A 16,833-nucleotide genomic window follows, 5' to 3' on the forward strand; every position below is an offset into this window, starting at 1 on the left:
GAGCCTCCTTTGGGTACCACTGCCCTAAGTAGTAACTTTAGTGCCAACACTTCTCTGTTAACTGGTAACTCTTATCTCAGAAAATGATAATGATGCCAAGAGTATTAATGGGAGAAAAGAACAAAACAGATTCGTTTATGCATAGGATAGCCGCATTAGCAGGATTTTTTTTGCCTTCATTTAACATTACTAATTTTTTTTATTAATTGGTGCAAAAGTAACCGCATGAACTTTTGCATGAACTTGATATTAAAAAACAACTAAATAGTCTTCCAGGGCTTGATTTGATTCCCCTTGTGTTGGAGAAAATATTGACATTCCTGTTGCTTTTAAGCAATAAATCTGTTAGGGTCTCAAGTTTTTATTACAATCAAGCCTTTGGGAGAGCCAGTGGAACAGATCTGAAGCTTTTTCATTAACTGATTTCAAATCTCTTATAATTTAGCAGTCAGAGGAGTTGATGTAATTTGCCATCACAAATCACTAGTAAATGCACCCTTGAGATTAAGAATCAAATTCCACAGATATCTGTAATATTTTAAAAGTCAGGATGGTAGAGTGACTCACAACCTAGTTGAATGTTAAAATCACCTGGGTAACTTTAACAATACTGATCTGATGCCTGGACACCACCATTCAGACATTCAGAGTTAGTTAGTTTGGGCTTGCATCTTGACATAGGGAGATGGATAGAGGATAATAGTTAAGGAGGGAGAGGTGCAGATATGAAGACAACTACCATTTCTTGAGACCTACTTTCTTTATGTCAGGCACTACAGAGGGCATTCTAAAAATACTATCTCTAAGCCTCACATAAACTCAAAAGGTAACTTTAAAAAAAATCTAAGGAAAGAAGCTTGAAAAAAAGGATAAACTTTTCCATGGCAAGAGATTGTTAAGTAATGAGGGACTGGCCCCAGCATCCTTGCAAGGGTACTAGATGCTTCCATTCCTTCTCTCTCTCTCTGTGTCTCTCTCTCTCCTTTTCTTCTTCCCTTCCTTCCCTCCCTCCTCCTTTCCTTCCTCTCTCTCCCTTTCTTCCTCCTCTCTCCTTTCCCTCCCTTCCTTTCCTCCTTCCCCTTCCTCCTCTTCTCCTCCTCCCTTTTCTTCTTTCTTCTTCCTCTTTTTTCTCCTCCTTCTCCTTCTCCTCCTTTATTCTTCCACAAATCTAAATACCTTGGGACAAGAGACAACCTCTAACAAATGTTGAAAGTCCCATGTAAGGAGGAATGTATCCTTCAAAATATACACTTGATAAAGCTTTGCCTACACCACCTGGGTGTTGGACATGGGCAATTACAAATGTATCTAGAGACTGAGACACTAGCTGCATTTCCAAGTATATCTGAAACTCATTGGCTTAGCCTTCAATGAAAAGGGCATTGGAAGATACATAGATAGTTTAGATTGAGAATTTGGCAACAATTATTACTGTAATTGTAGTTGAAAACCATCTGTGATCTCATTACGTAGTTACAGGGACAAGATGAGGGTAAACCTCTGATACTAAGAATAAATGAACCATATCAGAGAGAACACCAGAAATTCTTTCTTCTCTGATGTTAAGGAACCCATGTAGAAATCAGTCTACTTAAAAACAGATAAATATAACCTGCTCCCATGTATATTAACAACACTTTAAAGCTAACAATTACAAAGCTCTTTTAGATGTGTTTTATAATCTTATTTAATCTTCACAACATCTTTTTAGAGCAATGGGGAAAGAGAAAATAATGGTTTATATATTAATAGATGTGTACAAAGTCTTTTGTACATATTTTTATGTAACCCTCACAGCTAGCCAAAAGTGTTATTTTTTTTCTGTTTTATAAGAAAGGCTCAGAAAAGTGAAATAACTTGCACATAGTCATTGATTCAGTAACTACTGGAGACTGAGATCAAAACCTGAACCCAGTACAAGCAAAAAGTTGACTAAAATTACTACTCTCACTCTCTTTAACAGTCATTTGTATTAAGCTGAAACACAGTTGAACCTCTGTATAGAAGCTGTTGTTTTACCTAAATGTATATATAAATAAGAAAATCAATACAGGACATTCATTAACCTAAAATTATAAATAATAAATCCATTAAACTCAACTAAAATGAACACTGAGCTACTTTTCACATAAAGGGCTTTGAAGAATGTCATAGGGTATAGTTATTATATTCTTGATATGCATTGGATTTCCGACCTAAAAATTTTTTTCTTCCTTTCAGTTCCAAAGTACATTCTTATTTAAACTTCAGCTACCCATCCAAATTGGTATTTAAAATAAGTGAATTTGTGCTCATTCACCTGGTGTCAATATTTGTAAATATAAAATCATTTTCAGATGAACTTCATTTATTTTATTTCAAGTCAGTTTCTTGAAGGAGCCTTATGACATCATGAGGAAAGTCATTTCACAGTTTTATGTAGAAATATAGTTTTGTTTTTCTAGCATTGGTTAAGTTGAAGCTTTAGAATTGCGGGCACCACTGGATAAAATTGCTCCTGTAAACATGGGACACCTGGTGGATTACTTCAGCAAAATAGGGCCTTGTTGAAAAGTAATTGTGCCCATGAATTCTCACAAAACTAGGTTCATCATCTTTAGGTCTATATTAATCAGCTTTAGTGAGCTTTGAAGTTACTAAGAAAATGAGACTTTTTTGTAAATAGGTTATATATTTTGTCTTTAAAGAAGAAAGATTCTAAATTTTAATTGAATGACTTAAAAGTAGATTAAGTTTTAATTTTTTCTCAGTGTTTTATTTATGTTTTCACATGGAATTGGGTCTATTTAGTTTCTTTTATCTCATCTGACGGATATCTCTTTCTTAAAGTAATGTGCATTCTCATTTGAAACCAAGAACATGCTGAATAATTGTAAGGATATTTCCTGAGGTTCATGAAAGGTTTTTTGTTTTGTTTTGTTTTGAGACAGAATCTTGCTCTGTCGCCAGGCTGGAGTGCAATGGCGCAATTTTGGCTCACTGCAACCTCCACCTCCCAGGTTCAAGCGATTCTCCTGCCTCAGCCTCCTGAGTAGCTGGGACTACAGGCACGTGCTACCATGCCCGGCTAATTTTTTTTTTTCTTTTTTGTATTTTACTAGAGATGGGGTTTCGCCGTGTTGGCCAGGATGGTCTCGATCTCCTGACCTCATAATCCGCCCGCCTGGGCCTCCCAAAGTGCTGGGATTACAGGCGTGAGCCATCATTCCCAGTGTTTTTCAGTGCCTTCTCCGATAAGGAACCCGAGAGGCTTCCAGTCAACACTGGGGGCTGGGTTCAGTGAATTCAGTCATGCTGGTAGAGCCCACTATTTTTGTCCTAGTGGGCAAAAAAGGAAGCCTCTAGGGGCAATGACTAAAGTGTTCTAAAACCCATCATGTTGCAGCAGTACAACTAAATAGAGTCCTCACATGGCACTGTGAGGTAGACTACTATCCCCTATTTAAAGATGAAGAAACTGAGGTCAAGTGAGGTTACAAGTTTAGAGTCAATAAGTGATAGGGCTGGGATTCTGAGTCACATCTGATGGACGTCACACCTGCCCTTCAAAACTTTCTCTCACCCTACTGTTATCTTTATTTGAAAAGGCCTTTGTGTGCATTTCTGGGCCCTGGCTATTCATATGATGAATATCTGGGATTTTTTTTTTTCCCATTAGAGAACATTTTCCAAAGATGCCCTTAGAAGGATGGTTTCATCACATTTTCTTTCCCCTCACCTTGGATGTTTGGAGGGGTTGATTTTTTTTTAACAGAGGCTATTTGAGATCAGCATTATTTGGTTACCTGCATGTTATTACGGTTCAAAACTTTTTAAACACTGAACAACTGAAGTTAATCATTTACTTATTTGTCCCTTGAACAAGTGTTGCCCATTCAGTTAGAAATAATGTGCTCAATATGGAAAAATTAACAGTTGCTGAGTCATCAAAGGAAATAATGCAATTTATGGATATTCTTTTTTTATAATATTAGAGTTTGCTAAATAAATCAGTAATATATGAACACAATGGGAAGATGAATTAATAGTTACTTTGATTTAAGATTGAGGATAATTGTATTTTCGGAGTATGGTATTTATGGAGGCTTTATATATAGGCCTAATCATTTAGACATCATAAACTTCTTTAAGCTCAAAAATTGCTGTATAATTTCTAAGCTTTTTATAAGCAAATTCTAATTAGTTGTCCTTCTTAACCTGATGATCGATCGGGCTTATAAAAGAGTTACTAAATGTCACAACTGAAAGAAAAGAAGCAGTAGCTTTTATGAAAAAAGAGAATCTATCTTTGAATCAAGACTGAAACCTTAACTATATTCCATGTGTAATTGTGAAACTTAAATTATCTTATCGTGCTTTGAGATCAATAAGATATATCATCCTTATTTGCTTAGTATATTCTTGCATGGTTCAAATGAAATACATAACATGCTTGCTACATAACTGTAGATCTTAGACAACGAAGCAAATATTTATTATTTACCATGTGTCAGTACCATGCAAAGTTAAAAGAGTAGAGTTTGTTAAAAGATTTATCTTGGTCCGAATAGTTCGACATTCATCAATGTGGCTTTCTGTTTTTTTTTCTTTTGAGACGGAGTCTCGCTCTATTGCCCAGGCTGGAGTGCAGTGGCGCGATCACGGCTCACTGCAAGCTCCGCCTCCTGGGTTCAAGCAATTCTCCTGTCTCAGCCTTCTAAGTAGCTGGGATTACAGGCGCATGCACCACGCCCGGTTAATTTTTTTTTTTTTTTTTTTTTGTATTTTTAGTAGAGATGGGGTTTTACCATGTTGGTCAGCCTGGTCTTGAACTCCTGACCTCGTGCTCTGCCTGCCTTGGCCTCCCAAAGTGCTGGGATTACAGGCATGAGCCACCGCGCCAAGCCTAATGTGGCTTTCTTAGACTTGTCTACTCATGACTAGTCTAAGAATTAGACTATTTGTTTTTATTTTCACCTATATTTATCTCTAAAATATGTTAGAATCAAAAGAGTAAGTTTTGAAAAACATATTTATTGGTACTAATTTGGTCTCTTCGGTTCTAGTTTTTTTCATTGACTTTTAAAGACTTAATTAAGAGTATGCTTATTTCATTGTTAAATACTATAGCTAGATCACAGGATAAGTAACACTCATCTCAAAGGGGTGTGTGTGTGTGTGTGTATGTGTACACACACACGAGTCATGCAGTACAACCAGTGAATTAAGGCACAGAGTCAAATACCATTTCGTTTATGTGACTGTTTGTTTTGTGTTTTTGAGAAGTGAATTGTATTTGAAATGCAAAGACAATACAGTAGATGGATAATTGAATGATATTTTAAATCTCCTTGAAAGTTTAATAATCATAACAATTTTTTGTGTAATTAAAATATATTGTCAGGCCAGGCGCGGTGGCTCATGTCTGTAATCCCAGTACTTTGGGAAGCTAAGGCGAGTGGATCACGAGGTCAGGAGATCAAGACCATCCTGGCCAACATGGTGAAACCCTGTCTCTACTAAAAATACAAAAATATTAGCTGGGCGTGGCAGTGCATGCCTGTAATCCTAGCTACTCGGGAGGCTGAGGCAGGGGAATCCCTCGAACCAGGGAGTTGGAGGTTGCAGTGAGCTGAGATCGCACCACTGCACTCCAGCCTATTTGTAACAGAGGAAGACTCTGTCTCAAAAAAACAAAAAAAGAGAAATATATATATATATGTGTATATATGTTATAACATATATACACATATATTTATACATATATGTAGTCAGATTGTTTAAACTGAAATCCAGCTATGAATGTGTAAAATATAAAGTGAAATATGTTTTTTCTCATTTAAGAAAACAAATGCATTAGTTGAATCTCTCTCTCCTCTTTCGGAATCCCAGGCATCACACTTATCTAGACATCTCACTTATCAGAATTATGTTTCACACAGTGATACTTACATAAAGGATATAATGCATTCCATCTCCGTCCTCTTTCATAGCAATCTCATGTGCCAGTTTGTCATGTTTCTTATCACATTCTCTGCCCCAAAATGGCAAAGTAGCTACATGGATGATGACTATAAAAATAGGCAGGACCACCTCCTTTTTTTTATATTGAACCTTTTTTTCTAGGTTTTAAGGTTCTTTATGTCATATAAAGGTCTCTAAAAACATCAACTTATTTTCCCTGCCAAAGAGAAATGCCAAAGAAAAATTTGACTTTGATTCTCAATCTCAAAACTTAATATATTCATTTTTATAATTTATCATGAAGGATGCTGTCTGCTGAATTGGGACATCTTACATTAATTATTATTATTATTATTATTATACTTTAAGTTTTAGGGTACATGTGCACAATGTGCAGGTTAGTTACATATGTATACATGTGCCATGCTGGTGTGCTGCACCCATTAACTCGTCATTTAGCATTAGGTATATCTCCTAATGCTATCCCTCCCCCCTCCCCCCACCCCACAACAGTCCCCAGAGTGTGATGTTCCCCTTCCTATGTCTATGTGTTTTCATTGTTCAATTCCCATCTATGAGTGAGAACATGCAGTGTTTGGTTTTTTGTCCTTGCGATAGTTTACTGAGAATGACGATTTCCAATTTCATCCATGTCCCTACAAAGGACATGAACTCATCATTTTTTATGGCTGCATAGTATTCCATGGTGTATATGTGCCACATTTTCTTAATCCAGTCTATCATTGTTGGACATTTGGGTTGGTTCCAAGTCTTTGCTATTGTGAATAGTGCCGCAATAAACATACGTGTGCATGTGTCTTTATAGCAGCATGATTTATAGTCCTTTGGTTTGAGCCGTGGGGAACAACAGGCTTCTCTCCATCAGCTAACAAACACCTTGTAGGGGAGCTAAGCAGGGACAAAAGAAGTACAGGTCCACATTTCCTTCCTTATAATATGGAAATTCAAACTAAACATGCAGTGTCTGTGGCTCATTTGGTGACAAAAATTTGATCTTGACCTGAACTCACTTGTTAGGATAACCTGTTCTGAACTGGTTTAAGGCAATTTGTATCTTATCTATTCCACTTGGTGTGAATATTCACAATATTCAGTTTTTGCTGAAGAAATATGGATGTCTTTGATTATATGTTGTTATTCCAAACATGTATATACACACATATACACAAGTTTCTAAAAATTATAAAAAATACCTAGGTCCAAAACATATCTGGCCCTATGAGCTTTGGAAAAGTGGTTGTAAGGTCTCTATTAGATATTGTCCATGTCTTCAAGCCACTTGTAGTTTATTGAGATTCGTGACAGTAAACTCCACTCTCAAACAGAGAGTCAAAATAGTTATTGAAAGTCTAACAGTTGGCCGATATATACATATACATACATACGTACACACACATGCACGCACACACTATCCATGTTTTATATATATTATATATAGTATGGATTTTGTGGTACAGGAGAAAAGTAGTGTTAATGTAGAATAAGTCTAGTAATGTAAAATATTTCAGAGAGTAATAGAACTGGTTCTTTCTTTACTAAGTGTATTTGAATTTATTTCTTAATAAAATAAAGCAAAACCACAGCCAGTAAGAAAACCTCTGCATATATGCTGAAGGAAAATGTATATAAGGCAGTAAAATTTTCATGAGAGCCCTCCAACAAATGCATTTTTTTTCCTATGTAAAGGAAAGGTGTTTTGAAGATAGAGTTGTGTAATCAGTTTAGAGCAAAGAACTAAATAGAATTTATTGGCTTTCACTCTCGCCTTACTAGATCTGACTTTAGGCAAGTTACTTAAAATCTCTCAGCCTGCTTTATTGTCTATGAAATATTAATAATAAAAGTAGCCGCCATAGAGAGCTGTTAGAGGATGACATGGGATAGTGCATGTACTGGCGGGAGCCTGGCACAGAGGAGGTAGGCCGACTTCGCTCCTTATCTGGAAGCTGTTCCATCCAGGCCTAACAGATGATGTTTTTAGACTGTGGAATTCCACATAATTAATTCTTAGCTATTCAGGATCATTATTTTCATTGCATATTAGATTTCCCTTTGCTGGGCTAAATTGTTCCATAATCTTTTAAGATTTCATCTCTAATAACTAAAGTAGTTGTCTGGTGAAGAAGCCAACCTCAGCTGCTTTACGCTTTCAGTTTTATTAACCCGAAAGCCTCCAAGATGACTCTCATGAGACTTCCAGATTGAACCTTCAGAATTTTTCCAGAGAGTGGAGGAAACTGGAACTAAGTGGAATATGGCTATATAAATGTTCATCTGAGTGATTTTTGAGCTTTGAAAGAATATATACTTTATTATCCCTGATTTGTTTTTTAAAGTGTTTTATGAAACACTTGATGTGTTATTCATGGACTTAGAGGTGACTGAAACTTTTATAGCTGTTATTCATTCCAGGCATGAAGTGATCACACCTTTTGCCCTATTAGGATTGTACCACAGTAAGCAATAAGTTACAAAAACAGGGGATATATGGCAATGGGTGATATTCACAACTAGAAACTCCAACATATTTCTGCTAGATATAGTGAAGTCATACTAGTTTGAAGGAACTACTGATGTGACCAAGAATCTCTGCATGTGTTTAAATGGTTTATCTAAAAGGTAAGTGGAAGAGACGGTAGCAGGGCCTCATTATGACTTTCATGGACCCTAGACACTTCTAACTGCCTGGGCCTCTCCTTCCAATAGAAAGAGAAAGAGAATTATAAATTATAAAGGAGAAGCAGAGACAGAGAGAGTTACAAATTATATTCTGCCTTGGTATAAAGACTGGATTCATTATTATATATTCATTATTTTATATATACTATTCCTTGTATGTTGAGGCTGGATTCATTATTATATATTCATTATCTTTATATTTTTTCATTTCTAATTTAAAGACAAATTAGAACATTTTTGAACCTCTAAATGTAACATGTACCCTAGGCACTGTGCCTTCTGTGCCTGCCTAATGTGTAAGTCGGTCCCGGATACTAGGAGAAGTTTGCTAATCCTTTCTCTTAAAAGCCAGTTATGGTCAGATTCTGCCATATTCTGGGAACAAAGAGAGGGCACCACTGCAATCCCTGGATTTCTACAGGAGTGTCTTTCAGGCATAGAGTAGAGGCTTGGCTCATCCAACTACTGATTTCTTCAACAGAGAAAAAGAAAACTCAGCTTCAATATAGGCTGATAGATCCTGTCTTGACTTCCAACACAACTTAATTTCTGTCTGCCACTATCCTAGGCTATTGGATCTCCTGACTAGCAAAATAAAAATAAAAGAACTTAAAATTATTTCATTCTCCTTTCATTTGTGCTAGAAATATTTTGAAATAGATACATAAGTTTTTTGGAAGAACCTATCTCAATACTCAGTATTGAAAATGCACAGACTGTCCTCCGTGATCATGAGCAAACAGAAGAACACTTACTTTGGTTCAAAAGATAGTAATATTTAAAATAAGACAGTATAGATTTATACATTGTTTACTACAACACACGATAAAGGATTTTTGAATTTATTATGCTGGTATCGAAAATAAACCAAGGACATGCTTTTCCAATTAAGGTAGAATAAGAATCATGGATGAGAAAATACTCTGAAACAATGAGAGATTGTGTGGAATGAAAAGCACTATTGCTACATTTAAAACCTGAAAGAAAATAGAGATCATTGATGGAATTTTACCAAATCAGCCATGTAGATGACAAGTTCAGGAAATTCTCCTGGAACTCAGAAAAATATAAAGAGACCAAAATTACAAAAGACAAATGACATGTGACCAAGAAAGACTTGTTCCACTTACCTTGACTAAATTTGCTTCTTCCTAAGTCTCAGGCCCGTTACCTCCCTTTTCTATGGGATTTACCTTAGAAAACTTGTAATTGGGCCAGGTGTGGTGGCTCATGCCTGTAATCCCAGCACTTTGGGAGGCCAAGGCCGGTGGATCACCTGAGGTTGGGAGTTCGAGACCAGCCTGACCAACATGGAGAAACCCTGTCTCTGCTAAAGATACAAAATTAGCAGGGTGTGGTGGTGCATGCCTGTAATTCCAGCTACTCAGGAGGCTGAGGCAGGAGAATCACTTGAACCTGAGAGGCAGAGGTTGCGGTGAGCCGAGATCACACCATTGCACTCCAGCCTGGGCAACAAAAGTGAAACTCTGTCTCAAAAAAAAAAAAAAAAAAAAAAGGAAAGAAAAAAAAAGAAAATTTGTAATGGGAAATTTTTTCTCTTTTTCTCTATCCCTTTGAGATGTACATAAATCTTTTCCCAGCCCAGCCTCTAGCCAGTTTTACAATCCAGGAATGTCTTTCTCAAGGACCTGGGAGCCATCCCTTTGAAATATAATCATTAAGGAAGATAGTGCCCCTACCCCTATCTCTTAGTTTCTATAGGAGAGTAGAATCTAATTTCAACAAGTGCCAATTAGCAAACACAGTTGACCTAATCACGAGTCTCACCATAACATCCTTCAGTACATGTCCAACTAGCTCACCTCAGCTCTTAAAATCTCTCTCACTTATTGTTTTGGTGGAGTTGAGTCTAATCCCTTTCCACTATTGCAATAGTCTTGAGTAAAGTTTTTCTTTCCTGGTTAAATTTGGCTGGTACAATATTTCTTTGACACAAGGAGGCCAGAACTCTGAGATTACATAGGCGTTTAGTAGGCATTCAATTAAAAAAAAAAACAGCAAACAAGAGAAGCAATAATTTAAAATAGTGAGGAAAAAAATGTTTCATGAGTTCAAGGAAGTCTTGAGTCAGCATTTGTGTAGTAATAACTGATGAGAAGACATCAATACACAGGTATGGTAAAATATCTAACATTTCAAGAAAAATAAAACCTTTGTTTAATGACTAGGGAGGGGGAAAGAATGTGGCAAACAGAAGAAAATAAATTTTACCCACTCCAGAATTAGAATATAACTATTCTTTATTATTGCTGATGTGGTAAAAAGTAACACAAATATTAAAATATTTTAGGAAAATTAACATGTTAAAACAATTCAGAAACTATGTTCTGGTTTAAAATAGTACATATGAAGAAATTTGATAAAAAGGATGTATTAGTTCATTCTCACACTACTATGAAGAAGTACCACACACTGGGTAATTTATAAAGGAAAGAGGTTTCATTGACTCACAGTTCTGCATGGCTGGCAAGACCTCAGGAAACTTACAATCATTGTGGAAGACAAAGGAGAAGCAGGCACCTTCTTCACAGGGTGGCAGGATGGACTGAGTGCAAGCAGGGGAAATGCCAGGTGCTTATACAACCATCAGATCTCCTGAGACTCACTCACTATCCCCAGAAAAGTGTGGGGGAAACCACCACCATGATCCGATTACCTCCACCTGTTCCCACCCTTGACACATGGGGATTATAGGGATTACAATTGGAAGTGAGATTTGGGTGGGGAGGCAGAGCCAAACCATGTTAAGGGATAATTCAACAATTCTTTTCTTTTTATATTAATAATATCAATAAAAGATGTGAAATTTATTTCAAGTTTTAAAAAACTCTGTTGGAATAGAAATAGAATGTTTGCCTTCAAAATCAGTAGACAAACTAATAAAGGAAAATGAATTAAAATAAGTTAGCCATCACAATTTTCATAATGTATATTTTCTCTAAAATACTTATGTTTAAAATTCTCATGTTTTTTATTAGAATTTAAACATTATAATAAAATTAATTATGAAAAATCTAAATAAAATTAAATAAAAAATTCTAATCTGATTTTTAATCTAAAAAGTCTTTTATTATTAGAATTTAAAAATTCTAATAATAAAATTATTTCTTTAAAATACTTCCTCATGTTCTTTTTTATTATAATAATTAAAAATTTCTAATAATAAAAAAGAACATGAGGAAATATTTTTAAAATGCGTGATACACTATAATAAATGTGATGATTACACTTCTTCAAGGACAGTGTCAAAAAAGGAAAAACAATACAAAAATCAAAGACTCTAAGATTGGGGCAAAAAAAAATTCCGGATATATGCTATTTACAAGAGAAAAGTTTAAAAGTTTTTAGTCATTATGTTTAAAATGACATAAAGCTGTAAATAAAATGAGAAGAATGTCAGGCAAATATAATAGCAAATGAAAAGCAGAAATACTCAACAGAATTCAAAGCAAAGAGGATACATGGAATGTAGAGGATTCGTTTTATAAATGGTAAGAAAATGTACATCACAGATTAAAAAAAAAAAGAATGGTCCTGAATGAGCCAGAAAATGTACATGCAAATTTTAAGAACACTATTATAAATACAAGGAGATTCAAATGATAAATAATATAAACATATTGGATTTAAGTGATAGAACTAATAAGATTAACTTACATACTAAACTTGTAACTTATTTAGAAAAAACACTTTATTTTCAAATTTCCATGTAGCCAAACAAAATCAATCCTATATTAGGCCATAGACAAATTGTTGAAAAATTCTAAAAAGCAAAAACTACGCATGCTACACCCTTTGTCTATAAAATACATATAGGATATTTATTAAAAATCCTAACATAAAAATATGCACTGAATTTGATAGGCCTTCCCAGATGCAAGTGATTTATTAAGGAAATATACTTAGGACAAATCTGTAAGTAAGGGAAATAGAATAATGCATTTGAGTGGGATGAGAGACTGAAGTCTAGTCTCAGTCACTCCCAGTGTAAACACACATCCAAATGACCCTGTAGAGGTGTCCGCCCTCAGGCAGAGCAGCAGGGCTTGGCTGGTGTGTCATGCCCAGAGTAAAGCAGATCTTCTTAGGCCAGGACAGTTTCCCAGAGAAGAGTGCAGCTATGTGGTCACAGTAGCTGGGAGACATTCATACTGATTAGTAAAAAAGGATTCCGGGTTGAGGACTGACATCAACAACAGCCATGCTTTCAATTAACATTAATTTTAGCAGCTAGAAGGAGAAAACATAATGAAAGTAGTATAAGTAAGAAAAGGCTTTGTTTTTTTCATGAAACAGGAAGTCCAGAGGCAGGCAGTTTAGATCTGTGCATTAACTCCAGGACATTCTTAAGTATCTCTGCTTTTTCTCCCTGCCTGTCCCGCTCCATAGTATCCTAAGCGTGTGGTTTCATTCTCATGTTGAAGATGACTGCTAAGCCTTTGGGCAAGTGACCATATCCAGGCAGGAACAAGGGGAAGGGTAGAGGACCTAAAAAAAGGCAACTAGTAGTAAGCTCTGTAAGACTTCTTCCAGAGCTCTCCTGGAAATACTACCTAGCGACTTCTGTTAATATCTCACTGGGTAGAACTAGACCCTACTTGTAAGGACTTGGCAAAAATGTTGGCTATCCACATTCTATAGGAAAGGAAGGCAGATGAGAAGTGGGATTTGGAATGGCTCTAAACACCAACAATGTTTACCAAATCAAACCATTTTACATTTGAGATAAATGACTCTCTTAATTAACTCTTAGGAAAATAGTCACTTTTACAATTTTATCATGCTTAGAAAATAACAGAGATTAAAAAGTACATATAAAATGATGCACAAGCGTCCTCCTCCTCCTCTTTCCGGGTGAGTGCTCCCCCAGTAGGCAGGCAGCATGGTGGCCAAGGAGACAGGTGGCTGGAGTCCCCAGGTCAATCTCTATTGTCCTACCTGCATCAACTGGGCATCCAAGGCTTGTAATTCTGCTCACAGAATATTTCAAAGAAAATTGAGCTGCTCACAAATTATTACATAAGAAAGCAAAAGATGAAAAGGAAAAGCAAGAAGTGTCTTTCTGGACTGTAGAAGGTGATATTAACACTGACCCGTGGGCCAGTGTTAATATCCATACACTGGTAAACTTAGGCCACATTATCCACTGATGACAACAAGACTGGTGCCAAGTTATAGGCAAAGATGATTTTACTGATCATTCCTTGGGAATGTCTGAATCTGAACAGGCTCTTAAAGATACTTCTCAAGTTAAATTTTTCTGATCTGAAGATCAAAAGGGATGCGACTTGTATCTAAGCTGCTAGAGAAGTGTTGAATATTGCTGCTGGGCTGGTTAAGCCAGGTGTAACTGCTGAAGGAACAGACCATGCTGTACACTTAGAATGCATTGCAAGAAATTGTTATCCTTCTCCTCTGAATTATTATACTTTCCCACAGAATTCCAGACAGTCCTTGGAAGAAGGTGATATTGTTAATGTCGACATCACTCTTTATTGCATTGGTTATGATGGGGACATGATTAAGACATATTTTATTGGCAGTGTGGATGAGGATGCACGGAAATTTGTTCAGACCACGTATGAGTGCCTCATGCAAGCCATCAATGCAGTGAAACCTGGTGTTTGATACAGAGAATTGGGAAACATATTTCAGAAGCCTGCCCAAGCAAATGAATTTTCAGTTGTTTGAAGCTATTGCGAGCATGGAGTCCACAAACTTTTTCATACAGCTCCCAATGCACTCCATTGTGCCTAAAATAAAGCAGTTGGTGTGATACAATCAAGCCATGTATTTACAGTTGAGCCAATGATTTGTGAAGGTGGATGGCAGGATGAATCCTAGCCAGAAGGTTGGACTGCAGTGAGGAGACAGCTCGGTTCCACTATTCCTTGCTGGTCACAGACACTGGCTGTGAAATGCTAACCTGGCAACTTGATAGTGAATAGCCTCACTACATATCCCAACTTTAATTTCTTCCAAAATAGCACATCTCAATAGTACCTTCTTACTGTACTATGCATTTTTGGGGGAGTAGAGAAAGGAAGGGGACATTTTTTATCATTTGTTTTGTTTTGACCAAAGGTAAGAAAGGACTATAGCAATTTCATATGTGTCCTCAAGAACTTGTTTTGAGTCTAAAAAAGCTGAGAAGATTAAAGGAAACATTGCTCAACTCCTTTCAGTGCTGTCCCCTCCCTCTAAATCTTTCTACACACCCATTTTCTCATTATCAGGCTTTTTAAAGTTTAGATTATGGCAAAAGTAGCCATGCTCCCAGTGGTGGCTGACTGTTGCAGGGCATGAGAATTTTGTAGTACACTGCTATGCCAAACCGCTAGTTGGTCAGAAATGGGAGGGGCAAAGCCCCTTTTCTTCTCTTCTTTATTTTATTTCAAGGGCATACCTTGGAGATTCTCAGAGAAGGGTGGACGGTGCACTGTGGAGGATGATGGGGAAAGAGTTCTAAAGTGTCTCCAGCTGTGAGCACAGTGAGTCAAGTGTGCTGTTAGATTCTGTTTAGTAAACCTGATGGTGACTATAGCAGGGATGTAACTGTCCATGGTATCCTGAAAACACACCTCACCTTTACATAGTTGAGAACCTCATTAGAAATGACCTCAGTTGCCCAATATCTATGTTCCTTTTGACAGTTGTCCAAATAGGAATGTATCCAATGACTACACATCAGATCCTAAAGTCATTGTCATTATTAGAGTGGACTTAATTAATGGGTATTTGCTAACTTTCATGTAATATAATTTCATACCACTGACATGTTATATCATAGTTGTAAGAGAATATCTTTTCCAGAGTGTCTGAGGCCTTATTGTTTTAAAATAGTTATAATAACATTTCCATTGCTTTTATTATTTTATTGATTTAGTAAAGTGACTATATCTGGTTTCAATTTGGGGGAGTATGTGTGTGAAGTTTTCATCAATCTGTAATATTTGTGATGGAATGCCTTGCAATGTAAACGTTAATATAATGTGTAGAATGAGATGTAAAAGTTTAAATGACTATCAAAAAAGATATTATGCAACGGGCATAGTAAAGCCTGAAAATAAGTAAACTAACAATTAAACAAACTAAGCATTAGAAAAAAAGAGTAAAAATATATACTTGAGGAGAGTAAAGAAGAAAAAAGTCACCAAAAACAAAAGTTTAAATTTAAAAATTGGGATAAAAATGGGAAATGCCATTTTTAATTTAATATTTGTTCTTTGACAAGGTCATTAAAATAGACCAATCCTTGGCAAGACATATAGGAAAACAAAGGAGAAAAGAAATGTATAATGTTAGAAATGGTGGTGGGAGGGATATAACAACATATTTTGGGTGTTTTTTCCCTTAACAATAAAGCAAATACTATGACAATTCTATATTTTTTAAAGAGGCCAAACAGGAATGAATTACAAACTTTTTAGTAAACCATAAATGACTAAAATTGATTTGACAGATAATATAAAACCATGGGGAAAATGGATAAAGCAACCGTTAATTTTCAAAACACCATTGGTCAAATTGAAATGGAAACAACAGTCTGAGCAAAAAATCCTCAGCACAATTTAAAAATATAAATTTCAAAAGTTTTTTAAAATGTACATATTCTTTAGATATTTTGCTCGCAGGGATTTTTATTGGGGAAAGAATGAAAAGATATACATAAAGATTGATGTGACCAAGTATGCAATATACCATAGTTTATTAGCACTACTTGTTATAGAAAGTATTGATAATAATTTCAGTATTCAACTGCAGAAAATTAATATATTCCATACAATGGAATATATTAATTAGGTTGAACTGTATCAAATTGCCACTATTGACCATTTCTAATCAACAAAAACAGTGAATTCAAACCTAATAAATACACACAAATACATATTTAAATATCCCAGTAATTTAACTGTGGTTATCTCTGACTGGGGCTCTTTTGGGTGATTTAAACAGTCTAATTAGATTCTAATACAGGAACAAAATAAGCACATAACATGCATGTATTACTTTATAATATTTCACTAAATTATGAACTCTTGGGGAACAGGCATTTGGTTTTGGTAATCATTACATTCTTGGTGCAGAAGGAAATCTGAAAATATTTGTTGAATCAATGACTGAAAAAATATTTGTACTATAAAATAGGAAATGTTAAATTGCAAATGA

General features: G+C 35.8%; 1 protein-coding gene and 1 pseudogene across 4 annotated transcripts in view; both read left to right on the forward strand.

The window, feature by feature from the left end:
• The window catches only part of CNTN1 (contactin 1), a 379,977-nt gene that overhangs the window by 22,826 nt on the left and 340,318 nt on the right, over window positions 1-16,833 (forward strand). The window lies entirely within an intron of this gene.
• Window positions 13,518-14,103, forward strand: LOC100420117 (methionyl aminopeptidase 1 pseudogene; annotated as a pseudogene).

Source organism: Homo sapiens, chromosome 12 (genome assembly GCF_000001405.40).
Source record: "Homo sapiens chromosome 12, GRCh38.p14 Primary Assembly".
NCBI lineage: Eukaryota > Metazoa > Chordata > Mammalia > Primates > Hominidae > Homo > Homo sapiens.